General features: G+C 37.9%; 1 long non-coding RNA gene across 1 annotated transcript in view; it reads right to left on the bottom strand.

The window, feature by feature from the left end:
- Positions 1–24,792, bottom strand: part of LOC105369890 (uncharacterized) — a 192,148-nt gene that overhangs the window by 45,900 nt on the left and 121,456 nt on the right. The window lies entirely within an intron of this gene.

The following is a 24,792-nucleotide window of genomic DNA, read 5'->3' as shown; positions in this document are numbered from 1 at the left end:
AATGCACAAAATCATTGAGAAATGCAGAGAGGCATAGAAAAATGGATATCTTTAGATGACTCTCATTGATACTGCTTTGGATTCCTGTTCATAACACAAAGTTCTTGAAGAACAAGGAATCTCATTTTGTGATTGTTACAGATATGTATGTAACATATTCCATTATGTATCTTTTATTTTCCACTCATATTTATTTTGATAATATCTTGAATTTTAATAATTTCACATGTGATTTCTGGTTGTGTTTTTCTATTTTTTCTTAGACCAATAGCTTTTCAGAGCTAGAAGAAACCTAAAAATCCTGCAGCCCCATCCCTTTATTTTGTGGAAACTCTAAAAGGTCAAGTAACTTGCCCAAAATTGAGTAATAAGAAAACAGTAAGATTAACAACCAGGTTTCCTGAATCCACTAAAAATGGAAGTGGCATGATAAAACTAACATTTACCAAAGACATGTTAGTATTTGTCTGTTCTACTTTCAGTTCAGTTCAATTAAATAATTTTTTCCATTTATAAGTCATTGGGGAGAAAATATAATACTGCTTTACTAAATTGGCTAAGGACTATGTACAATATATGTTTACCATAATTCTACCAAAGTATCTGTGACTTTTAAAATTCCTGTTCTTAGTCAGACTAGAGATTTAGTTCATATTTCAATACTATTTGCTTACACATACACACACACACATATTTAGTAGCCCAGGTTAATTGGCAGATGCTTCCTTAACTAATGTTCATGACTAACCAACAATCTGTCTGAATGCTTCAGATGCAGCAGTCACTTTTTTCTTGGTGATTTAATCACTTCCTTCCATTTAATTACTTTGAGGATTAACTGTGGGCAAATGTATTCCAATAATAGGCCAATCTACAAAGAGCAGGAAGCTTTCCTTATGGTCCCAAGGGAAATTTAGCACTTCCGATTGTAACTGCGTTACAGCTCTCATGTTTCTTTTAGCCCTTAAGCCATGTGTGTCACCTTGCCTGTTTGAGTGTAAAAAAAAATGTCACAGGTTGCACTGTTTACATGCTAGCATTTGTACACAATTTCTGGCAGAATAAAGATGGCTTTTCTTAATCTGGGCCATACAGGAAGCTATTTCTTTCCAAATCAAGTCATTAATGCTTAAACAAGCAAACACTACAGCCAAGACAAAAATCAATTTGCAAAAAGGGGAGGCTTTTTTCCAAACTCTCCAGCAGTCGCTGGGGAAGATGCTTTTACAATCTAGTGCTTTAGAGTATTACAGTATTAGGTTAGGTCAATCCTATTTTTCTAGTTGGATTTATTTTGAGAGTCAAGGTGATGAGTAGTTTTGAATACTATCAGCAGTGTATCTATCAGCAATGTTTTCACTACCAGAAGAAATAGTTCTTATTCTAAATAACAAGCATAGAAATCTGTCCAGTGACCTTCATTTGACCTCTTGGCCACATGTGTCTGGGTATCTTCCAATGGTTGAATGCTCTATGAGGGTGGTTTCCAAACTTTGCTGCAAATTAGAATTACCCGGGGAGCTTTTTAAAATCCCAGTGTCCGGGTTGCACCCATCCCAATTAAATCAGAATATCTGAAGGGTGGGAGCCAGCATTATTAGTTAATAATCCCTTGAGGATTCCAATATGCAGAAAAAGTTGAGAGCCAATGACTGTGACATTTCTGGCTCATGTTGCTTTCCGGTAGATAGATTCCCAGACTGAAAGATAAAAAGGAATTTTTTTCTCTGTTCTGATTTCCAGATTTGTAAAATCAAGAAATATTAAAGATACAGGTATTTATTTGGGAGATACGTTTATTAAAATAGAGGAAAACATTTACATCAATAGTCATGAAACAGTTTATATTATTTGACCTACCTATTTTAATTCAGAAATTTGTTTGAAAAAGATAATCAAAGATGCATGTCCATAGCAATGTTAAATTTTAAAATATTTAAAGAAATTGTCCTATTAATATGTCATAATTTAATGAATTACAAAATGGCTGTGTGAAGAACTATATTTTTATTAAATGTGTTTCATTACACAGAAAAGCCCTCTAAATATAATGTTAAGTACAAAAACATAACATGTATTTGCATATATCATATATATGGACATATACACCTACACATATACATCCATTTATATATCCTATCTATATATCATATATAAATTACATTTGAAATTATCTGCATGGACAAATATATATAAATGCCTAAATGCAAAAGGACACATCTGGAAGGTCACACTTTAAGTAAGGAAAAGGGTTTATTCTATACAGAGTAGTGGGGCTGGGCAAAGTGAAGAGAGAGTTTTTCTTTGTATTACATATACTTCTTTATTGTTTGCATTGTTACAATATTAGCATGAGATTATTAAAATTTAAAATAAACAGAATTAAAACAAACCGGAGAAGTAAACACACTTTAATACAGAGAAAAAGACTCAGCAAAATGTAAATATAAACGGTACCTCTGATTTATCAGACAGAAACATTTGTTCTCATGATTTTACTAAGCATCTATTATTTTATAATGTGTGAAGTAAAAAATATTGACCCTAAAAATAGATTACTGGATAAATAGATCCTCATGTTTGAAAGGATAAATTCACATTTCAAAGGGGCCCCTGCCTCACTAGCCAGGCCACAAACAATTTTGTTTCTCATTCAGGTTTTTCCGCTAAGGAGTATAAAAGCACATTAGAAAACATTATTCAAATCTTGATAATCCAATCATCATCTTTAGTCTATTTCAAAGGTGCCTTTTCCAGGGCCGTTAGCCTGTATACTTCACAATTCTAAAAAAGGAAGAAAAGTTCACAGTGAAAAGACATCTGAACATTTCATTCTAATATTCCCACAGTTGAAGCATAAAGATTCTTCACATGGGAAAATCAGAACTAAGATAAGTGCCTACCAAATAAGTGAAGTATAAATTACACCGAAATTGTGCTTATTATCAAGAATACTTGATATCTATCAATACTTGAACTTCTATCAAGAATACTTGATTTTGAGGATTTTCAAAAAGGTTTGGTTTAAAGAGGTAAAGGTCCTTTTATTTGCGTGTTAAAATTTACTTAAAATTTGAACATACACTCTCTTGATATAATAATGACTACTCTAATAAACAGTTCAGAAAGTTTTAGTGGTTTAACATGATAGAAATATGTCCTTGTTCATACAATATTTCAACGCAGGTGTTAGAAGGATAGCCTTCCAGGGAGTGATTCAGGTTCCCAGGCTCCTCCCATCCCATAGCCACACCATCTTCTGGGGCCTGGGAATCTTTTACTTCCAGCCAATAGATGGCGAAAGAGAAGGTGGAGAAGGTTCACTGATGAACAGGGGAAACACGTCACCTCGGCTCATATTCTTCAATGGACATACAGTTGCATGTTTGTGTTCCCCTCCCCTAAACTTGTATGTTGAAATTCGAACCCTGAATATGAGAATATCAGGAGACAGGACCTTTGGGAAGTGATTATGTCATGAGGGTGGCACTCTCATAAATGCAATTAGTCACTTTATGAAAGAGATCTCAGAGAAATCTCTCACCCTTTCCACTGTGTTAGGACATGGCTCTTTATGAACCAAGAAGTGAGCCTTCACCAGCCATGGAAACTGCCAGTCCCTTGATCCTGGATTTCCCAGCCTCCAGAACTGTGAATAATACATTTCTGTTTGGGTTTTTTGTTGTTACTGTTTTGTTTGTTTTTTTTGTTTTTTGTTTTTTTGAGACAGAGTATCACTCTTTTGCCCAGGCTGGAGTGCAGTGGCATGATCTCAGCTCATTGCAACCTCTGCCTTCTGGGTTCAAGCGATTCTCGTGCCTCAGCCTCCCAAGGAGCTAGGATTACAGGTGCACACCACCATGCCTGGCTAATTTATTAGTAGAGACAGGGTTTCACCATGTTGGCCAAGCTGGTCTTGAACTCCTGACCTCAAGTGATCCGTCCGCCTTGGCATTGCAAAGTGTTGGGATTACAGGTGTGAGCCACTGCGCCCAGCCCACTTAACTAATATTTTGCAACCAATAATATGTGGCTATCAGACAAGTCATTTATTTGGTTTCCAAAGTTCTTCAATCACAATTATATATTACTTTACAGAATTGCTATCTTCGTAATGGTCACTCAACTTCCCTGTATTTTAATAAAGATAACATTTACATTTAAGATTCTTCTCCATTATAATAATCTCATTGTTCACTCCATACCTGTAGAAATAGGTTTTATAACTTCTTTCCTACCCTTGTACTTCCCGTAAAGCAGTCAAACACTGCCTGTCGCAAAGTCCCAGTAAACACAAATGCCACCAGGGACTATTGCTGGGCAAGAGAGTAGAAATGGATCTGGTCAGACCTATCACTGCTACTGGAAAAGCATATGCCCTCCTGAGGGTGAGTCACACATTAATACCAGTCTATTTTTATGTCTTTAACTTTTATAGCCAAGATGAATCTGGTTTACTTTATTATAATAATTTGAACCCTGTTGTTTAAGTGCATTACCATTCACTGTTGTTGAGATAGAAGTCCTTTGGTGGTATAGAAATATCTAAAAATATTGCCTTTGAATGGAGACCAAAATAAATATAAAATAGTTTTCTATTTCTGTAAGCCATAAAACTGCTCTCTATTATCATACCCTATTTCGTACCAGTGGCTAAGAAAATACAATACTTAGATGTTTCTTTGATCTACATTTGGCTTATGTCTTTTTGCCAGAGCTGCAGGCATTTCTCGATTGTGTTTAAGAGAGAAAGAGAGAGAGAGAGAACCCGTGATCTGTGAACATACTCTTAAGTGATACAATCAAAGCTCTGGTGCTGCTTTATTTAAGTTTACCACAGAACTCAGTAAGATATATGATGCCTCTATTATTTAGCCCCTATCCAAAGCCACGTTATGGCCATCATTTCCTAAAATATTCTTAAAAATTCATTGTCATTAACAGATATGTAATAATCACTTATGTAAGGCACTATGTTAGGTAACAAGGTAGCAATTGGATGTGGGAAGGCCCCAGTCAAAGAAAAGTAAAAGCTGCAGCATTTTAACAACCCAAATTTTAGGGTTAATTGCCAACGTGTAATCTAAACATTGCCCTGTTATTAACATAAGCTGCAGCTTCATAGAAACTTAATTCTCCAGGCACAAATCCATTATTCTATCTACTGCCTCCTTATCACCTGCCACCAATATTGGTCTCCTTGATGGCATAGTTTTAGTGTTTTGCACTGAAATTATCCCTAACTTGAGCCATCTAAACAAGTCTTACAACTTTCCTCTCAGTCTTACAACTTTCCTCATTGTTGTTTCAAATCTTATATAACTTAATCAATTCCATCTTATTGAAGCTGCTATAGACATTCTTCCTTCTATGCGGTTTCCTCACTACAGAATATACCATGTGAAGTTTTAGACTGACTAAATTCTTTTAATGTAAAGAGACCGTTGGCGAGTACGGTGGCTTACGCCTGTAATCCCAGCATTTTGGGAGGCCAAGCCAGGCAGATCACTTGAGCTCAGGAGTTTGAGACCAGCCTGGCCAACATGGTGAAACTCCATCTCTACTAAAAATACAAAAATTAGCCAGGCATGGTGGTGCATGCCTGTAGTCCCAGCTACTCGGAGGCTGAGACACAAGAATTGCTTGAACCCAGGAGGCAGAGGTTGCAGTGAGCCAAGATAGCACTACTGTGCTCCAGCCTGGGCAACAGAGTGAGACTCTGTCTCAAAAAAAAAAAAAAAACACTCATCTTTTCTGATATATTTATAGGGACTGCCATGAAACTGCTATACAAGTCTCTATTATTATCAATGGTAGAGTATTATCTGCTCACAATAATACTAATAAATAATTTTAGAAAATCAGTTCTATTTTCATGCAGGTAGAGCCATCCCTTTATAGATTAATTTACTGGGTAGGACATTTGCAGGGACTGCTGTTTATTGCTGATAAATATAGCTTGCTTATTTAAGCTCTTTACCTTGTTCTAACCCTGCTGAGAGATCTTCTGAAGCAAGAAGCTTTAGAATGGCACAGGCAGGTAATGGGCTGACAGCACTGGACAACCTCTTATTGGAGGCACCATGATAGGTAATTAAGCAACCACCGTCACTCAAGGTCAAATGATCCTTAATCTAAAAACAATCTCTAAATGACATAAGAACAGCTTTAACCATAACATCCACTGCATTTGAGGTCCTATTTCATCTATCTGCAGAGCAAAGTCAGTAATATGAGACTCATAAACCAAGCAGGGTTGCAAATCCTCTTATGCTACCCACAAGAAATGAAGGGAGTGGGGGAAAGCATTGTTTTGAAATTTCACTTATGCAAAGAAATGAGAAAATAGTTCATAAGATGATTGTTCTGTGTAAGCAGTGGTCAAATAATGTTATTTGATGGAAATTGTTTTCTTTGCTTGCTTCCTGAACCCTCCATTTAACATTTCTAGGAAATCATTCTGATGGAAAAGGTCAAATATATACAAAAATAAAATTAGGCCTATTAATCATATTTTGTAATTGGATAACTTGAACATTTTTATTCAAAGAGAAGCTTCCTAATTCTACCCTATACCTTTAGTTCCTCAGAATTTAAAACAGAAATTAACTTCAATGACTCACATTTCTGTATGGAGTTTTATGCCTCAGAATATGTTATACTTATATTTATTTGTGTAACTAAAGGGAAGAAGCAATTATTTGGATAATGTTAAAAAAACTGGAATTTTAACTTCAGTTTGTCAGAGACAAAAGCACTGCAGATTTAATTCTTCTCAAACTTTAATGTGAATACAAATCACCTGGGTATCTTGGTAAAATGCAGATTCCAGTGTAGCAGGTTTGGCGTAAGGCCTGAAAACCAGCATTTCTAACAGGCAACCAAGTGACACCTATTCTCAATCAAGGTTCACACTCTGAACAGTAAGATTATAGAATTTTCTATTATACCTGCAGGGTTTCTAAAGAGCGGATAATGATAGGACAAGTGAAAAATTAATTTTTTAGATCTATTTTCTTATCCTCCACTTTCATTTGCATACATAGACATATCTAATGTTTTAAAATCAACTAATGAATGTGGTTTATCCTTTTGAATGCGTAAAATGATACAAATGCAAAATGATCACTATTATGATTTGTATTAAGCTTTGTATCAACATCTAATGCACTTCTTATTAATTCATGGACTACTAATTTAATCTTCTTACTGTGATCAGTCAACAAGTAAACCATTCTCAGACTGTTGAGGAAATGCAAATTTTAATATAACCAATCAAAACATTCAGTTAGGTTACACTGAATAGTTTATAACTAGTAGAGTAAAAAGATTGTTTTAAATTGGAAATGCACTAAAAGTAACATTTTCTTTGTTGAGCTAAAAAATTAGCATATTTACTTAAAATGCTGACTCAGACCTTGGCCAGGCCATTGACTTCACTGAGGAGTTCAAACTGTGTTAAAGCTTTTAATAAAACTCTGGGGGAAATTCCACTGCTACACAATGAAATTCCATTACGTATGACTTATTTTTGGCTCCCCAGTTGATAATAAAACATATTAAATGGCATTTCCCTTTATTTTTTTCCTGAGGCTCAGTTTTTATACCACTATGTATTCTTCAAGAATGTTTTAACTTAAAAGTATTTTTTATTTTGTTCTTCAAGAAGTACTAAGATATGTAAATTTTGTTATTGTAATTATGTCATAGTGGATCAAAAATTATGTATTGGCAATTACCCTGCTTAACAATTGCCAAAAATATTCTACTGTTTATGGTGTTGAAATGCCAAGGAAGAACTTTATGCAGAAAAGATTCACATTTCTGAAGTGTTGAACATAGTTAGTAACCAATATGTATTTTTGTGCGACCCTGATCCTTCAATGGTTGTTTGAGGATTACTGCAATGGGTCTAAAGACTATCAACTTTAAGAGAAGAAATAACATACATTAAAAAAAAAGTCAGGCCGGGTACCCTGGCTCACTCCTGTAATCCCAGCTCTTCGGGAGGCCAAGGCAAGTGGATCACGAGGCCAGGAGTTCAAGCCCAGCTGGCCAACGTGGTGAAATCCTGTCTCTACTAAAAACACAAAAACTAGCTGGGTGTGGTGACACTTGCCTGTAGTCCCAGGTATTCAGGAGACTAAGGCATGAGAATCGCTTGAACTTGGGAGGTGGAGGTTGCAGTAAGCCAAGATCACACCACTGCACTCCAGCCTGGGTGACAGAGCAAGACTCAGTATCAAAAAAAAAGGAAAGAGAAAAATGTCAGGTTTAATGTTTTTATTTATATCAAGTAGCTATTACACAGTAGACCCTTAATAAAAGTTTGATCATCATATGAATTATAAAATTAACATTTATAGTAAGTTTTACAGTTAGTTTCTCTCACAAAACCAGGTTTAATAGGTAAGAAACACACAAAAAATGTTACCCAGATCCCGTCAAGGAATGACTTTTTGTTCCTACTACTGAGAGAGCCATCAGGAAGCATCCTTCAACTGACAGCCCCTTCAAGGATCAGACCCCCTACATCCTTCCCAGGTGGCACTCATCCAGTGACTGATGGAGGCAGGGGTATGAAGGTCCAGGCATTTCAGATCAATGCAGGACAAACCCGACCTTGACTTTTCCCTACGCCATTCTGATTTTGCCTCCTTAGTTTTCATGGGTGTTGATACCAAGAGCCTTCTCTAATAATTCAGCAAATTAACTTTCTGCTTGCCAGAAACCCAACCTGGCACCACAGGCATTATTGTCCTCATCTTACAGATAATAAAACAAAGGCTCAAAGATGGTAAGTGGCTTACCCAAGATGAGGCTGCTGAGGCACCTCTTGTGCTGAGTCCTACTCAATGAAATTTCTAGTTCCTCTCCCATGGGACTTTCATCCTCATGGTCGGTCTGATCCTTGATACTGATTTTATCTGCACTTCAGGAGATACACTCAACAAAGGCAGCTTGAGGTCCTCTTAATTATCTTCTAAATGTTTGATGCCAGTTCTTCCTCTCCTCTCCTTCTTTACCTCCGCCCCAGGAGGAGCAAAGGAAACTGGTAAACACTTAAAACTGTCTTCAGGCATGCTGCTCTGAAACTCTTATATCACATTCAGAATGCCTTTGTCCTCAGGATCCTTGGCCACAGGGAAAGCGCAGGCCCTGAGGCAGGCGAAGAAGTGGGACAGAGCCAAAGTCAGGCATGAGCCAAATTCAGGCATAAGACAAAGTTGGACCAAGGTTCACAACAAAGGAGCAGAGATGCGGTAAGAGTGGGAGAAATAACCAGACAGAAGCAAGCTTGAGGGCAGGGCAAAGGCAGGAGTACATGTCAGAGACAGAGGCAAGAGAAGGCAAAAATAGAACACCCCCCATCACCACTTCTGGGTTTCTGCAGCTTCTCTATCTGAGCCCTCAGACCTATCAGGTCCTGGTTATGCTATGAAAAAGGTCTACTTTTACTACTGTGAGCCATTTTCCACTTCTCCAGCTACACTTCTTCAGCCCTTAGGGTTAGGAGAGACCTTAAAAGCCCCACATGGAACATGTTCTGTAGATGTGAATAACTTGGAGCATGGTGTGGTATATTTAGTCAAACTGAACAACAGTTCTAAGTCAAACATATTATAGGTATCCATGACAAGAATCATTATAAAAGAATTTTGCAAACCCAATCTATAGGCCCTGTTGTGCTAAATGTCATTTGAAAATACACATTCCCAATATAAAAAAAAAAGAAAAATGAGAATTGTTTCTTTTGCACTGGTTATAATAAGATTTGATCTATTTTCCTAAAGAGAAGAATGCATTCACTGGGGTGTTTTAGAGGATTTAAAATTGAAACAGTGGAAGAAAAAAGGAGGGAAAAGCCCAGGTAAAACTCTAAAGTATGAAGCCAGTGTATAAAGTACCTAGTAATTCACAGCAGAAAATAATTTAAGAGGCAGAAGGACATAGCACTTAGGTTCCTAGCTGTTTAAATACCAATAGGCCAAAAATACAATTTGATGTTTGCACAACAAAATGAACACCCCCACATAAACATCATTGCATCTTCGTGAAATAGAATTCACAAGAAGCATCTTTCATAAAATTTACTACATTGTGCAAAGGGAGTGGTACTCTGTTTCAAGAAGGTATATACCTTTGCAAAAAACCCCAAATCAGGGATGGCAGAATGATAAAGAGCATCTGGGTAGAGACGAAAGGAAAGATTGCCAAAATGATATTATTGTTGGTGATAGGGTTGGGGATGGTTGGTACAACAGCCATTCTGGGAAGAAAGAATGGGCAATCATGTCCTAGCATTGATCACAAAGCTGGCACAGATATAGAGGCAAGATACAGAAGAGATGAAGATTCTGCTTATCTAAACATCTCCAGGAAGTCACTACCAGCTAAGAGCAAAGCATGGGATATATCATTCTAATAACTTCATCTTTTTGAAGACAGAAAAAGTAATGAAGGGAGCTCCTTAGGACACAATTCTGGCCAGGAGAGAAAGTCATCTTTGGCAAAATGAAAATGGTAGAGTTCTTTGCCAGAAGAGGGGTTACCAGTAATAGAATCTTACAGTCCGGAAGCTCTGAACCCTGAGCAAAGCTATATATATGCTCCAAAGTAAAAGAAGATGGCTTTCCAGAGGTTCAGAAAGAAGATATGCATGATCTCATAGCCAGAGAAGCAGAGACCGGAGAAGAAAAAGACTAGGCTTTTAAACACACCGATCTGAGAGTCTAATCATGGAAGATGAGGGGGAGGCGGTAAAGAAACCACTTTGACAGCTCAACCGGCTCTTAGATAAACAGAATAATTTTAAAGATGCCATTTTTAAAACATGGAAGAATGAAAACATAATAAAAACAAGTGAAAACTAATACCAAGAGAATAAAGGAAATATTGTAAAAATTACCAAGAAAGATGAAAATCGGTTTTTTGAAAGTATACAAAAAGCAACAGAAAGGTTTGGGGACAATAGTGTAAAGTCTGCAGAAGACAGGCAGAAAGCAAAACTTTTCATGACCTTTCTCTGCTGTAGCAGACCTCTGTTTCACAGTCCTGGATCCCTCCTCAATCTCATGAGTCTAATGAGCCACAGTGCCCAGCCTGCCTGGCTATGGCCATGAGCATATAAACAAACATACCAGTCAGATTCTCCCCAGGATATTTGATTCATGGATGCTGAGAGAGAAAGAGTTTCTCATCATTTTGGATTTGAATCAAATTCAGTAGTTATCTTCCCTACCAAGTCAAAAGCTTATTCACAGAAGGAATAAGGGCTGAAATATGGCAAGAAAACTGGGCTCCTGGGACATCCCCTGAATCCCTGTATCCAGCCTTGATTGAAATAAGCCTTACCCCTGAATCCCCCAGCTATGTGAGCCAAGGTATTCCTTTTTGTCCTAAGAGAGTTTAAGTTGGATTTCTTGCATTTTTAATTAAGAGATACTTTATTAATATAGTGGTTAAGAAGGTTAATTGTCAGTTTAGAAAAGAGAAAGCAAACACTGGGAGGAGGAAATTAAAGTTTAAGCTAGGTAAGGAGGTTGAAAAAAATGCACATTTCAAAGGACTTTGATGACCAAAGAAGGCTCCATTCCACAAGACCAAAAGATGGCTCAGATGACATCCTGACATCAGGGAACTGCAAATAGTCATCTTTGAAGAACTATGGAAAAGAGAAGTCTTGCTGGCAGGTGGAAAAAGGGCAAATACATGTTTCCATTTTCAAAGAGGTGAAAGCAGTTCAATTTATTAAACTATATGCCAAAGACATTGGATAGATCCCTAGCAAAATGTTAGAGTATAAGGGGCTGGTAAACACTTATAAAGTAAAGAGATGATCACTAAGGACCAACAGGTTCATGAAGTTCAAATCATGCCAGGATTATATCATTTCCTTTATATCTATATTTACCAGAGTGGTTAAGGGAAATATTTATTATACCAGGCACTGTGCAAGACATTGTTCAGATATAGTTGAGTATCATTTGGTGGTTGTGGTCATAGTTTGCCTTATTAATTTAATATCTACTGTTTATTGACAATCTAATATGTTCCAGAATACACATACAGCTACATGCACACATAATCAATATACACATACACACAAACGCACACCTAATATGCAACAACATACACACATATACACACAAACACAAGCACACACATATACACACAAATATAAATACAGCATAACACATATAAACACATATATACACATACATGCACATACCTACACACATAATACACACAGGCATACACATAAACATATGTATATACACACAATGCAAAAACACTAGAATATACATAGAAACACATACACACATGCACATACATACATGTACACACATACACCAGAACAATAATCTAATGTGGCCAATAAATATCCCCATGATATTTAAAATTATTTATTAAATTAAAGTGAGGCAATTTGTTCAACGTCACACAGCTAGTAACAGAAAAACAAGGATTTTAACCTAGGATTTTCTGATTCTTTAATATTCCTTGTCAATAAAGGGTATCTTTGTGCACTTTCACCCAAAGAATGCTAACCAAAAGAGGAATGTCAAGCTGAAGAAAGGTACGAGGTATCTTTGGCCTTTTTCGAAAAGTTGATTGACAATAGAGAAATTATTGCAATGAAATCTGAAAATAATTAAAATTTTATATAATATCTGTAATATGTTGTTGAAACAATTGAAATCTAAGCTGAATAAAATAAGAAGAAATGAAATAGAGATAAAATGAATATTCAGACACAGGCTACACATAACACAAGTAACTTAAGAAGAATTTTACCTGGCTGTGAGTTCAAGAAATTCACATGAGAAGTTGCTGCTAAAAGAGTGAATTCATTACTGGGCTGTGTGAATAGCAGTCTGAAGTTCAGCAGACGGGAAATAAATATCCTTTTTTTAACCCTGTGTGGACTAAATTAACAGACTGGTGCTTGCTCAGAGAGGATTGATTATGATGATGAAAAATCAAAACATCATAGGATATAGATCAGAGAACAATCACTGCTATGTCTGTGTCTACCTGGCAGATGTATGAGAATTCATTGCATATTTCTCCTATTATCCAGAGAGTTTTAAAAGGAGTGATTAAATGTTGTGGAAAGATGATGCTTCCCTCATAAAGGAAGTCAGAGCCACTTCAGTCCTGACAGGAATCAAATAAGTGCACTCTGTGTGTAAATGTAGGTAGAGTTGGCATCCAATGCCCTAATGGGTTCCCCAGCAAACCCATTAAACAATCCCTGTGGAAAGAAGTGAAGCTACTGTCACAAGAAGTCCAAGGTTCTCTGGGAAAGAAAGAACTTGGATCCTGGCCTGTAGATCCCAAGAGCTGAAATTAGGGGAACCTAGAAGTGAGGACTGAAGTGACTTTAACTTCAACGGGAGAATTCATCAGGAGCACAAGGGAGAAACAATTACGGCTTTAAGGTCCCACGTGGAAGTAGGTGTTTACGGAGAAGGTCTAGTGGCGGCACAATATATGGCTTAGGGAGAAAGCCCCTTGGGCTATAGAATCATCCAGGAGAATCTCCCCATTTAAGTTTGCTGGATGTTGTGTTTGAAGAGTAATTAATGAAAACAAGTGCAGCTTCCTTGGCATCCAAGTGTGGCACACCTGCAGGACATGGACCAACAAAAGCATAATGGAGATGAAGCAAACATCAGTTCATCTTTGCAGAACAGTCTTCAGCAGGACACCATGTGGCAGACAGCAGCAAAGGCCATCTTCAGTTCTATGTCCAACTGCCTGTCCTTCTTTGTACTGACTAACCTTTAGAATTCCTAGATAATTGGAGTGGCTGATGATCATTTTGAGGTTGCTGATCAAAGGGGAGATATTATGCTTAAAGACAGGTGAGTGCTTATCTGCCAAACATTATAGGAGCCTTCCCTCTCTAATCAACATAAACTTTAATTCTTAATCACAAAGAAATGGAAACTATAGGACTAGAAAAACAGAAATCAGTGAAAGGCTTTCACACAAATTTTATTTTCTTATTAATTTAATACCATCAACCATACTTAATATTACCCACACTGCTTTGAGACCTGTGCCTAAAATCAGACAATTTTAAGTGTTCTAGAAGTCCTGAGTCTGAGTCCCAGGCCAGTGTTTCTTGCTTACTGGGGCTGATGAACAGGGGAGAGTGTTTGCAGTTGTATTAGTTTCCTATTGTTGCTGTAACAAACGAACATAAACCTGTTGGCTTAAAACAATGCAATTTACTATCTTATAGTTCCAAAAATAAGAATTATTAAATGAATCTCACTGGGTTCAACTCAAGTTGTCAGCAGAGCTGTCTTCCTTCTGGAGGCTCTAGAGGAGAATCCATTTTCTTGCCTTTTCTAGCTTCTAGAGGCTGCCTGCATTCTTTGGCTCATGATCTCCTTCAAGCAATCTCATCACTCTGATCTCTACGTTTAATGTCACATCTTCTGTCACTCGCCTGACTTCTTCTTGCCCTTGTTAAATAAATTTCTGAATACATTGAGCCCACTGGAATAATCCGGGATAAAGTCCCCATTTCAAGGTCTTTGACTTAATTAAATCTGCAAATCTCACAGATTCCAGGGATTTGGGTGTAGATATCTATGGGACATGGGTGGGGGCCATTAATTCTGCCTAACACAGCAGCCTGCTAACCCTTAGCAGGAATTCTGAGTTATCAATACTGGAGGCAACTGAAAGGAGTGTCCTGGTTCCTTTTTTTTTTTTTTTTTTTTTTTTTTACCTCTAGCAAAGATAAAAGAAACAGAGATGTGAGCATTTATTGAAATTTCCACAAAACTTAATCCACTAGACTTTGCAGAGGAGCAAATTTCAGGAAAATCCTTAAAGAAAGACATAGATATCCCAAACTAAATAAAGAAGTAGGGTGCCGAGAGATAACGAGGTCGTTTAAAAAAAAAATTCCCCCTTGGCCAGGAGCGGTGGGTCATGCCTGTAATCCCAGCACTTTGGGAGGCTGAGGCGGGCGGATCACGAGGTCAAGACATCGAGACCATACTGGTCAACATGGTGAAACCCCGTCTCTACTAAAAAAAAAAAATACAAAAATTAGCTGGGTGTGGTGGCACGCCCCTGTAGTCCCAGCTACTTAGGAGGCTGAGGCAGGAGAATCGCTTGAACCCAGGAGGCAGAGGTTGCAGTGAGCCGAAATCACGCCACTGCACTCCAGCCTGGCGACAGAGCGAGACTCCATCTCAAACAAGCAAACAAAAAAATTCTCCCTTTCAGTGTGGATGTGCAACATCATATAGGAAGATAACAATGATCTTTGGCTTACCTGGTTTTGGAAAATTTTAATTTTAATATTTTCTATCACCATAATAAACTAAATTTATTTTTTGGCCGGGCATCAAGTGGCTCAAGACTTCATGGGAGAATTTTCTCCAAATTTTCCTTACTGGTGCTCAAGAAGTTAGTTGGGGAAACAAAAAAGAAGTGGCCTTACTTGAAGCCTAACTTGGTGAAGTGAGTCAAAAAAAAGCTGTTTGAAGGAAAACTTTTAATTTAGTGCAGTTTCCAGTAACACCTGCCTCTTTGACACATTTTTCATTTCTGTTTCTGCCAACACCAAGCAGTAGCCAACCCCAGATTTTGTTCACTTTATTATGATGACAAAAGACTAGTCAATAGTGCCTATTTCTTTCCATGGCCTGACTTGCCTCTTAGAAATTAGAGATGTGATATCCCATGATCAGATCAACCAAAGCCAGAAAGTGGTGGACATTTTGACTGGAACCATAAGAATTATGAAACCAGACTGGCTTAGTCCATTTATACAGCTTTAAAGGAATACCTGAGGCTGGCTAATTTATAAAGAAAAGAGATTTATTTGGCCTATAGTTTTGCAGGCTGTACAAGAAGCATGGTGCCAGCAGCAGCTTCTGGTGAGATCCTCAAGCTCCTTTCATGCATGGTGGGAAGCAAGGGATAGCCACAGGCAAGTAGAGATCATATGATAAAAGAGAAAGCAAGAGAGAAGACAGGGAAGTGTCAGGCCCTTTTTAACAACCAGCTCTTGCAGGAACTAATGAAGAACTCACTCACTCCCCACCACCCCCAGGAATGGCATTAATCTATTCATGAAGGATCTGCCTCCATGACCCAAACACCTCCCATTTGGCTGCACCTCCAATATTAGTAATCACGTTTCAACACGAGGCCAGGCACAATAGCTTATGCCTGTAATCCCAGAACTTTGGGAGGCTGAGGCCAGAAGATTGGTTGAACCCAGGAGTTCAAGAGCAGCCTGGGCAATACAGTAAAACCCCATCTCTACAACAAATAAAAAAAAATCAGCCAGGCATGGTGGCATGTACCTGTGGTCCCAGCTACACAGGAGGCTGAGGTGATAGGATTGCTTGAGCCGAGGAGGTCAAGGCTGCAGTGAGCCGTGATCATGCCACTGCATTCTAGCCTGGGTGACAGAGTGAGACCCTGTCTCCGACCAAAAAAAAAAAAAAAAAAAATTAACCTGAGGTCTGAAAGGGTCAAATATTCAAATCATAGCAGAGACATGTAAGGTTTATATTTTGTGGTCACTTATATGGGAGAAAAAAATTCTACATGTTCCCCAGCCAGTGAAGGCCAATCATTAATCCCTCATCTGGAGCAGCCTAGGAACTCAGTATCATTAGCCATGGAGAATGAATGCCTAAAATGTCAAAATAGATATGTTTTTAACACATAAATACAGTATTCTTCTTATTACTGTATAATCTGCAAATAAAATATAGTATTTTTAATATTACTATCCTATTCTCATGAAACTATTTCTTATTACGTAGGTAGCAAAAAGTTGAGCCTGTTAACTTTCAATTTTGGTAGCCATAAAGTGAGGAAGTCACCTGACATGTCCTTAGAGAATGGCATAAATCTGCTAAATAGGGACATATAAAGTTGCCACACATGAAACAAATAAATCATGAAGCAGTGATTTCTAGGAGCTTTTATAATGCTTTAATAATCTCTCTATGTTACAAGTCTTTCTCATAGAGGCATATATAAGATGGTATGATGTCAATGTAGTGGTTTTTTTCCAGCAGATATAGACCTATTGATTTGAGTATCTTTTTATTTAAGAACACATTTTGGAAATACAAGAGGAATGTGATACCAATGTTAAATTAAACCCAGGCAACTTCCATCCCTGATTTTGCCTAATTGATTCACCCTATAGCATGGGTGAAATTATGACTGAACAAATCTGTACTTCCTTCTGGAATCTAGACAAGGGAGTAAAACCTTACTCATCACCTCAGGGGAAGGAGGGGGATCAGGTTGGGCTCTGAAGGCACATACTCTCTTCATCTTTGGCTGCTAAGTGCCATGAGTGACTACTGAGCTTCAGAAGGTGTCACATTTATCCACTATTTATTTAACAAATAGATATTAGCAGATTACTCTCATAAGAATCTGAAGGACCCCCCCCCACCCACCAAATCCAAGACTTTTAATTATTTGTAGCACTTGGAAGACAAAACTTTACTTTTCAGTTATAGCATAATATTTTTATCCCTATTTTTTTACCCTTATCTTCCTACTTATAAATAGAAAAGAAGTGCCATTTAGTTTTAAAATTGTCCATTCTGTCTTAAAATTAAAAAGAGATATACAAACACATACTGCTATATCTACTACTACTATATTATCTTAGGCAAATGACTTAGCTTTATTAAGCCTCAGTTTCCCAATCTATAAAATAGAGAAAATAGTACTTCTTAGGATACTTTTAGAACTAAATGAGATTATTTATGTTGTCCGCAGCATAAGCACTTGAGTATAGTGGGTCTCAGTGAAGGCTCTGATGTGCCTGTTTGATTCAAATCTCCCTTATTTATTTATTTATTTATTTATTTATTTTCTTTGAGACAGAGTCTCCCTCTGTTGCCCAGGCTGGAGTGCAGTGGCGCGATCTCGGCTCATTGCAAACTCTGCCTCCCAGGTTCACGCCATTCTCCTGCCTCAGCCTCCCAAGTAGCTGGGACCACAGGCGCCACCCACCACACCTGGATAATTTTTTGTATTTTTAGTAGAGACGGGGTTTCACCGTGTTAGCCAGGATGGTCTCAATCTCCTGACCTCGTGATCCGTCCGCCTCGGCCTCCCAAAGTGCTGGGGTTACAGGTGTGAGCCACCGCGCCCAGCCTCAAACCTCCCTTTTACCACTCACCAGCTATGACCATGGACATGTTACTCCTTTTAACTTTAATTCCCTTGTCTATGAAATATAGAAATAAAGTTATTTACTTCACATAACTTTTATGAAAGTCAAGTGAGTATATACATATAAAGTACTTTAAAAAGTGCCCAAAACATAGTAAGTTCTTATTACCATTCAGTTGTAAGTGTCCAAAAACTCAACTAAAAGTAGCTTAAGCACAAAAGGGAATTGCAATTGGGAAATTTAAAAAAGCAATTATGCCTTTAGGCACAGATGGCTCCAGGAGCTCAAACGAAGTCAAGTTTCTGTCTTGCCATATTTTGGCTCTCCTTGTTTCTGCCTGGCTTCATTCTCTAACTGGCTTCTATCCTACCCTAATGGAAAAAGAGGGTTTTCTCAAATTATCCTGGAGGGAAGCTCAAAGAAAGATTCTGATTGGCTTTGTTTGGATCATATGCCCATTTCTGAACCAATCACTATGGCTAGAGAAAAGAATGGCACACTGAAGGACTCCTCATGCCCACTCTTAGATCTTTGGAAAAAAGCTACGTCTGTTACATCATATTTGCAATAAATGAGCTCCTCACAGGAAAGAGGTATTCAAAGCCAAAAAGGGAAAAAGGTGCTAAACAAATAAAAATAACAAATATTCAGTTCAATGGCAACAAATGTTAGCCATGACTTTTATCATTATTAATATTGTTATTGCCATTATTATTTACATAAATAATACATTCGTCTGGATTCTCCAAAGCAGTAGAACCAATGGGATCTATATCTATGTCTATAGAGAGAGATTTATTATAAGGAATTGGCTCATATGATTATGGAGGATAAAAAGTCCCAAGATCTGCTGGGTGAATTGGCAAGCTAAAGACCTAGGAGATCCAATGGTGGAGCTCCAGTCCGAAGGCTGGTGGAATCTACCAGGAAGAGCCAATGTTTTAGTTTGAATTCAAAGGCAGGAAAATACCAATGCCTCAGTTCAAAGGCAGACAGGAGGAATCCTCTGTTATTATGAGGAGCGTCAGCCTTTTTGTTCTATTCAGGCTGTTCTATCCAGCTAAATGGATGAAGCCCACCCACACTAATAATCGCATTAACAAACGTTATAAACCACACAGGAGGAGGGCAATCTGCCTTACTCCGTCCACCAATGTACATGTAAATTCATCCAAAACACCCTCACAGAAACACCCAAATATTGGAGCACCCCATAGCCCAGTCAAATTGACACATAAAATTAACCACCACAAATTAAAAAATAATAGGAGCCTGGGATAAGAAAGTGAATACTGAGTATTTAACACTAAGCTCCAAAGAAACATAGTAGTAGAATCTTCTGACATTTACGGTTTGAGGAAGCCCCCACATGTTTAATATGTCCCCCTCTTTTGAGCACCATTAAGTAGGCCCATCTATTAACGCCTAATGAATTCAGAGACTGTCACCCAAGCTCTCTTTACACAGTCTTGTTGAGCGTTTAAAGTTACTGAAAGACCAAATGAGAACCTGACTTACGCAAAGCTTATTCTAATTAGAAAAGTATAAAACACTACCTAGGTACAAATTTACCAAGGAAGCAATCAAATGTCATCAACAGATGGATATGATAACTATTCACACAAAAAAATAATCATCAGTGTAGTCCTCCATCATCACCAAAGATACATAGTCATATTTTTGGAAATACGACATAAGAGAAAATTGTGATAAAAGCTTTAAGATGGCCGGGCGCAGTGGCTCACGCCTGTAATCTCAGCACTTTGGGAGGCCGAGGCGGGCGGATCACGAGGTCAGGAGATGAGACCATCCTAGCTAACACGGTGAAACCCCGTCTCTACTAAAAATACAAAAAATTAGCTGGGCGTGGTGGCGGGCGCCAATAGTCCCAGCTACTTGGCAGAATGGCGTGAACCCGGGAGGCGGAGTTTACAGTGAGCCCAGATCGCGCCACTGCACTCCAGCCTGAGCGACAGAGCGAGACTCTGTCTAAAAAAAAAAAAAAGGCGAAGCTTGCAGTGAGCCGAGATCACGCCACTGCACTCCAGCCTGGGCGACAGAGTGAGGCTCCGTTTGAAAAAAGAAAAAAGCTTTAAGATAATTTTTCCAATTTTTCCCAAGATTAAGCCAAATGTCAGATCTAGTGACAACCACCACCATGAAACTGAGGCAGTTACTGACTTTTAATGTAAAAATATTAAGTCTATATATTTGGTTCCTGGGTTCAAGAGTCAGCAGATTAGGTTTCAAACATATTCTCTCCAACACAGACTTGGTGAGCAAACCACCTTCTTGGTGTGTTCCAAAGAAGTTCAGGGATGGAAAGAATTTCAGTCATATATTTAAGAGAGACTTCTGGTTTATTTTGAGCAGTGACAGATGTCTTCAAAACTAACATCCAAACAAAGGCATTTCCTCTCAAATTGGTTGGCATGTCTGTTGACATTTTGGGCTGAGGAATTCTTTGTTGTAAGGCACTGGTTTGTGTATTATAAGATAATTTGCAACATCCCTGGTCTCAACTCACTAGATGCCAGTAGCAACTCTCTCCAGTTGTGACAACAAAAATGTCTCCAGACATTGTTAAATGTTTTCTGGGGATCAAAATCACCCCAGGTTAGAGACCATTGATTTAGGCAAAGTGCTGGTTGTGACTATTTTAAAAAAGGGCCCATGTTGCCCAAAAGTTTCTTGGTATTCTTTTTCTATGCTACCTGCTAACTTATAAAACATCTTGCTGTCTTGCTTGAATAAATTACAAAATTTTTATTATCAGAATTTTTTGGAGGAAGCCACAAGAAAGGAAAAGTCTAAGTCTACCAAATAATTCTTTAGGTTTCACTTTTTCATTTGTCAAAACACACACATTCTCACACACACACACACACACACACACACCCCATCTATGGTAATTACCACAGAAATGTTGCCTTTTTACACACAAAGAAATTACAAATCACACACACAAGATCCAAGCTCAAAAACTTTTGAGTTTAGCAAACACTGCATGTTCTCACTCATAAGCGTGAGTTGAACAATGAGAACACATGGACACAGGGAGGGGAACATCACACACTGGGGCCTGTTGTGGGAGTGGGAGGCAATGGGAGGGAAAGCATTAGGACAAATACCTAATGCATGCAGGGCTTAAAACCTAGATGATGGGTTGATACGTGCAGCAAACCACCGTGGCGCATGTATACCTATGTAACAAACCTGCCTGTTCTGCACATGTATTCCAGAACTTTAATTTAAAAAAAAAAAAAAAAACCTTGAATTTAGAGTTCTTTAAATACTGATTAATTTAATGTAATTTGGTACTTGGCACAGTGGCTCATACCTGTAATCTCAGCACTTTGAGAGGATAAAGCAGGAGGAGCACTTGAGGCCAGGGGTTCATGACCAGCCTGGGCAAAATGGTAAGACCTCATCTCTACAAAAAATATTAAAAGTTAGTTGGGCATGGTGGCAAGCAGCTGTAGTCCTACCTACTCAGAAAACTGAGGTGGGAGGATTGCTTGAGCCCAGGAGTTCGAGGCTGCAGTGAGCTATGATTCCATCACTGCACTCCAGCCTGGGCAATTGAGAGAGATTCTATCTGTAAAAATTAATAACAATAATAATTTTATATTTAATTATATAAATTAAAATAATTTTTTTAATTTTAAGAGAGACTTAAAATTTTTTTAACTTATATCATTCCAAAAAAAGTAATGCAATAATATATATCTTTTTAAAAACTATTTCTTGATAATATACTTTCTAAAACTTATAGAAAAGTTATTTATAATATTTGCCATTTTTAGGTCTTGAGTACTTGACTTTGAAGGAGATGATGTTGTACAACTTGCCACTGAATGATTTTCAGCCACAGTGAGTTATTTTGCAATTTCTTTATCTACAGATAAGGTGTTATTTCCCATGAGGCTACTTATCATAAACAATCCAGGAACCTGTTTATCCATCTGATATTCCAGCTTGGCAAGTAAATAAGTTCTTCATTGTTTGTAGAATAAAATCAAAGCCTGCAATCCACTATTCAAAAGATTGGTTAGGTCTAAGAGATATTGTTAAGTGAAATAAGCAATTCTCAAAATATTATGTGCATGTATAGGTTTATTTAGAAAAAAAGTGCGTGCATATGTATAAAAGAATATACATAAGCATGGAAAGATACAAACCTAGCTGAGCTTAGGAGCTAGAGGTGAGAGAGAACACAATAATTTGGTGAAAATTAAAATTTGTTAGAAATTAGTATTTAAAGTTTTTTCATATGTATTTTCTATTTATATGTAATTCATTTAAAGCCAATAATTTCTTCTCTTCCCTACTTATGGTAAGGAAATCGGAACCAATGCAAGTGGTCAAAAACTATCAAGTTGGTTTAATATGGTTACCTATAATAGCATTTAAAGGTGATTCCTACCTACAGATTAAGAAAACATGCATGTAAAAAGGATATTAAAAATATTCAGAGAAACATAATGAATATTTCTGACTGAATCATGAGTGCACTTTATGTTATTTTGCTTGTCTACATTTTACTTTTTTAATGAATATATATTGCTTTTATAATGAAGCACTAAAAGGAAAAGGATTTGAGGAGTGGGGAGTGAGATGAAAAAGCAGCTGACTTTCCAGAACACTGAAAAGTATGTCAGAAAATGCTGTATGAACAGTGGTCTTAAAATGTGTCAGATGGGTTTTGAAATTTGTCTCAGAGATAGTAGTCAAGACCTGCTGGAGGAACTGAGTCATACTTTCACAGAAATCTCTTAGTAAAGGAGAGAGAATGAATTCCAGGAGATAAAAACAGATCAGTGGAAAATGGCTCCTGGGGATTTGTTCTCTTCTGAGCATGAGTTTTATTTCAGTTCAAGATTTTTTATTGTGTGTGGATATGGGAATATACCTTCATATGATTAGAAAGATAATTTATTTGGGATTAAATCCAAGAATTCATTTTCCATTGGAATAAACTTCCTAAAAACTAAGCCACGCTGTTCTGCACTGTGCATAGCCTGAATTGCAAATACACAGGACAAGGGTGGGAAATGTGTGTGTGTGTGCGTGTGTGTGTGCATGTGTGTGTGCGTGCATGCACACACCAGCAAAGCTTTATTTGGAAAATAATTGGTATCCCAGGGATATTAACAAAGCCCTTGACACTGTCCTCAGAATTGGGGTTGATGACTTCCCAGGTTGTTTATTCTCTTGGTGCAAAGGGCGCAGCGGTCAGCCCCTTCCTTGCCTTTAGTTCCCTCTCTTTCTTTTTTTTCCACCACCTCAGAGCTGGAAAATTATACCAAAAGCCATGATTTTTAAGACTGTATATAATATGTGAACCTTCAAGCGCTTTAAAAGGAGGTTTTAATATGACTTAATAAATGTATAGCACATGCTTAATTTGTATTATTATTTCCCATTTTTAAATTGTTTCTTCTGAACACCCTTAATTACAACAAGAATAAAGGGTGAAGCAGTTCAGTCAAGGACATACAGAGGGCCATAAGCGTGTTAACAAAATTTAATTTGATCTTGGGCTGCTTTTAAAAGAAGCACAGATAGGAGGTAAAACTGGGAGTTTTAACTGTGGCAAATTCATAAGATGTTAAATTCCAAAGTGAGCTATTGGACCACTGAGTAAAAGTTTTTAATTAAGTGACCTAGAGCTATTTAAAGGCTCTGAACCCCATAAGAAAGATATGAGAAGGTATAGGAGTAGTAACTAAGGCTAGGTTTGTGAAGAGATGTTTTGGAGAGAACTGCTTCAGTGCTGAGTCTCCCTTCCCCACCCTTACAGCAGGAGATGGGTACTTCCCCCTTAGCTTCAAGCCTAGAGATCAGGGCTTCTCTGAGACTTGCAGAGAGCTTCATTTCTGTCCCTTGGAGTTGGGAGGCACATTGTGCTGATGCCAGAGGAGCCTGAGTGTCTACAGGTGAGATGTCTGAGGGCAGAGCCAGGAGAGAGATGCTGTTGCATTAAGATTCACCTGTACTGAGTTTTGTCAAGATAAAAAGTAAGTGAGAGTTTCCCAGCAATCAGATGTGAGCCACGTGTGTGTATGTGCCCCGAGAGAGAGAGAGACTGGCTGGGGCCATTTTAAATGGAATTCTGCTCAAGAGGGCTTCACTCAGAGAATAATAGAGCTCTATCGAGTGTCTGAGTGGAATAGCAGTCAAACAAGAAACAGCCTACCTTTTTACCTCTTTATCTCCTCACACCTACCTGTCCCATCACTAGAATCAAAAGAGGTCAGAGACAGCAGCTAGTGGGGTTGATGGAGAAGGAAGCGAGCTAGAAACAGTAAGTCCGCCAGGCCACTTCCCAGAAGATAGGCTGCTTGCCTACAGTCAAGCCCTGGCTCGCGGAAGGAAGAGAAGGGAGATTTATCTCTGAATTAGTATATAGGGATTGATATTTTATCAAATTAAGAAGGTATTTGGTGAATTAATGTGAACAGAGTATTCTATATTGCCTAAGAGTAAGTAGAAAATTCAAGAACCTGACAGATTTTTCATCCAAAGGAGAGAAGAACTTCTACCACTGAAACATTTTTAAAAGAGATTTGGATGACTTTTTAAACAAATAAACAAACACA

This window comes from Homo sapiens, chromosome 12 (genome assembly GCF_000001405.40).
Source record: "Homo sapiens chromosome 12, GRCh38.p14 Primary Assembly".
Classification (NCBI taxonomy): domain Eukaryota; kingdom Metazoa; phylum Chordata; class Mammalia; order Primates; family Hominidae; genus Homo; species Homo sapiens.
This window is presented reverse-complemented; position numbering and strand designations above follow the sequence as displayed.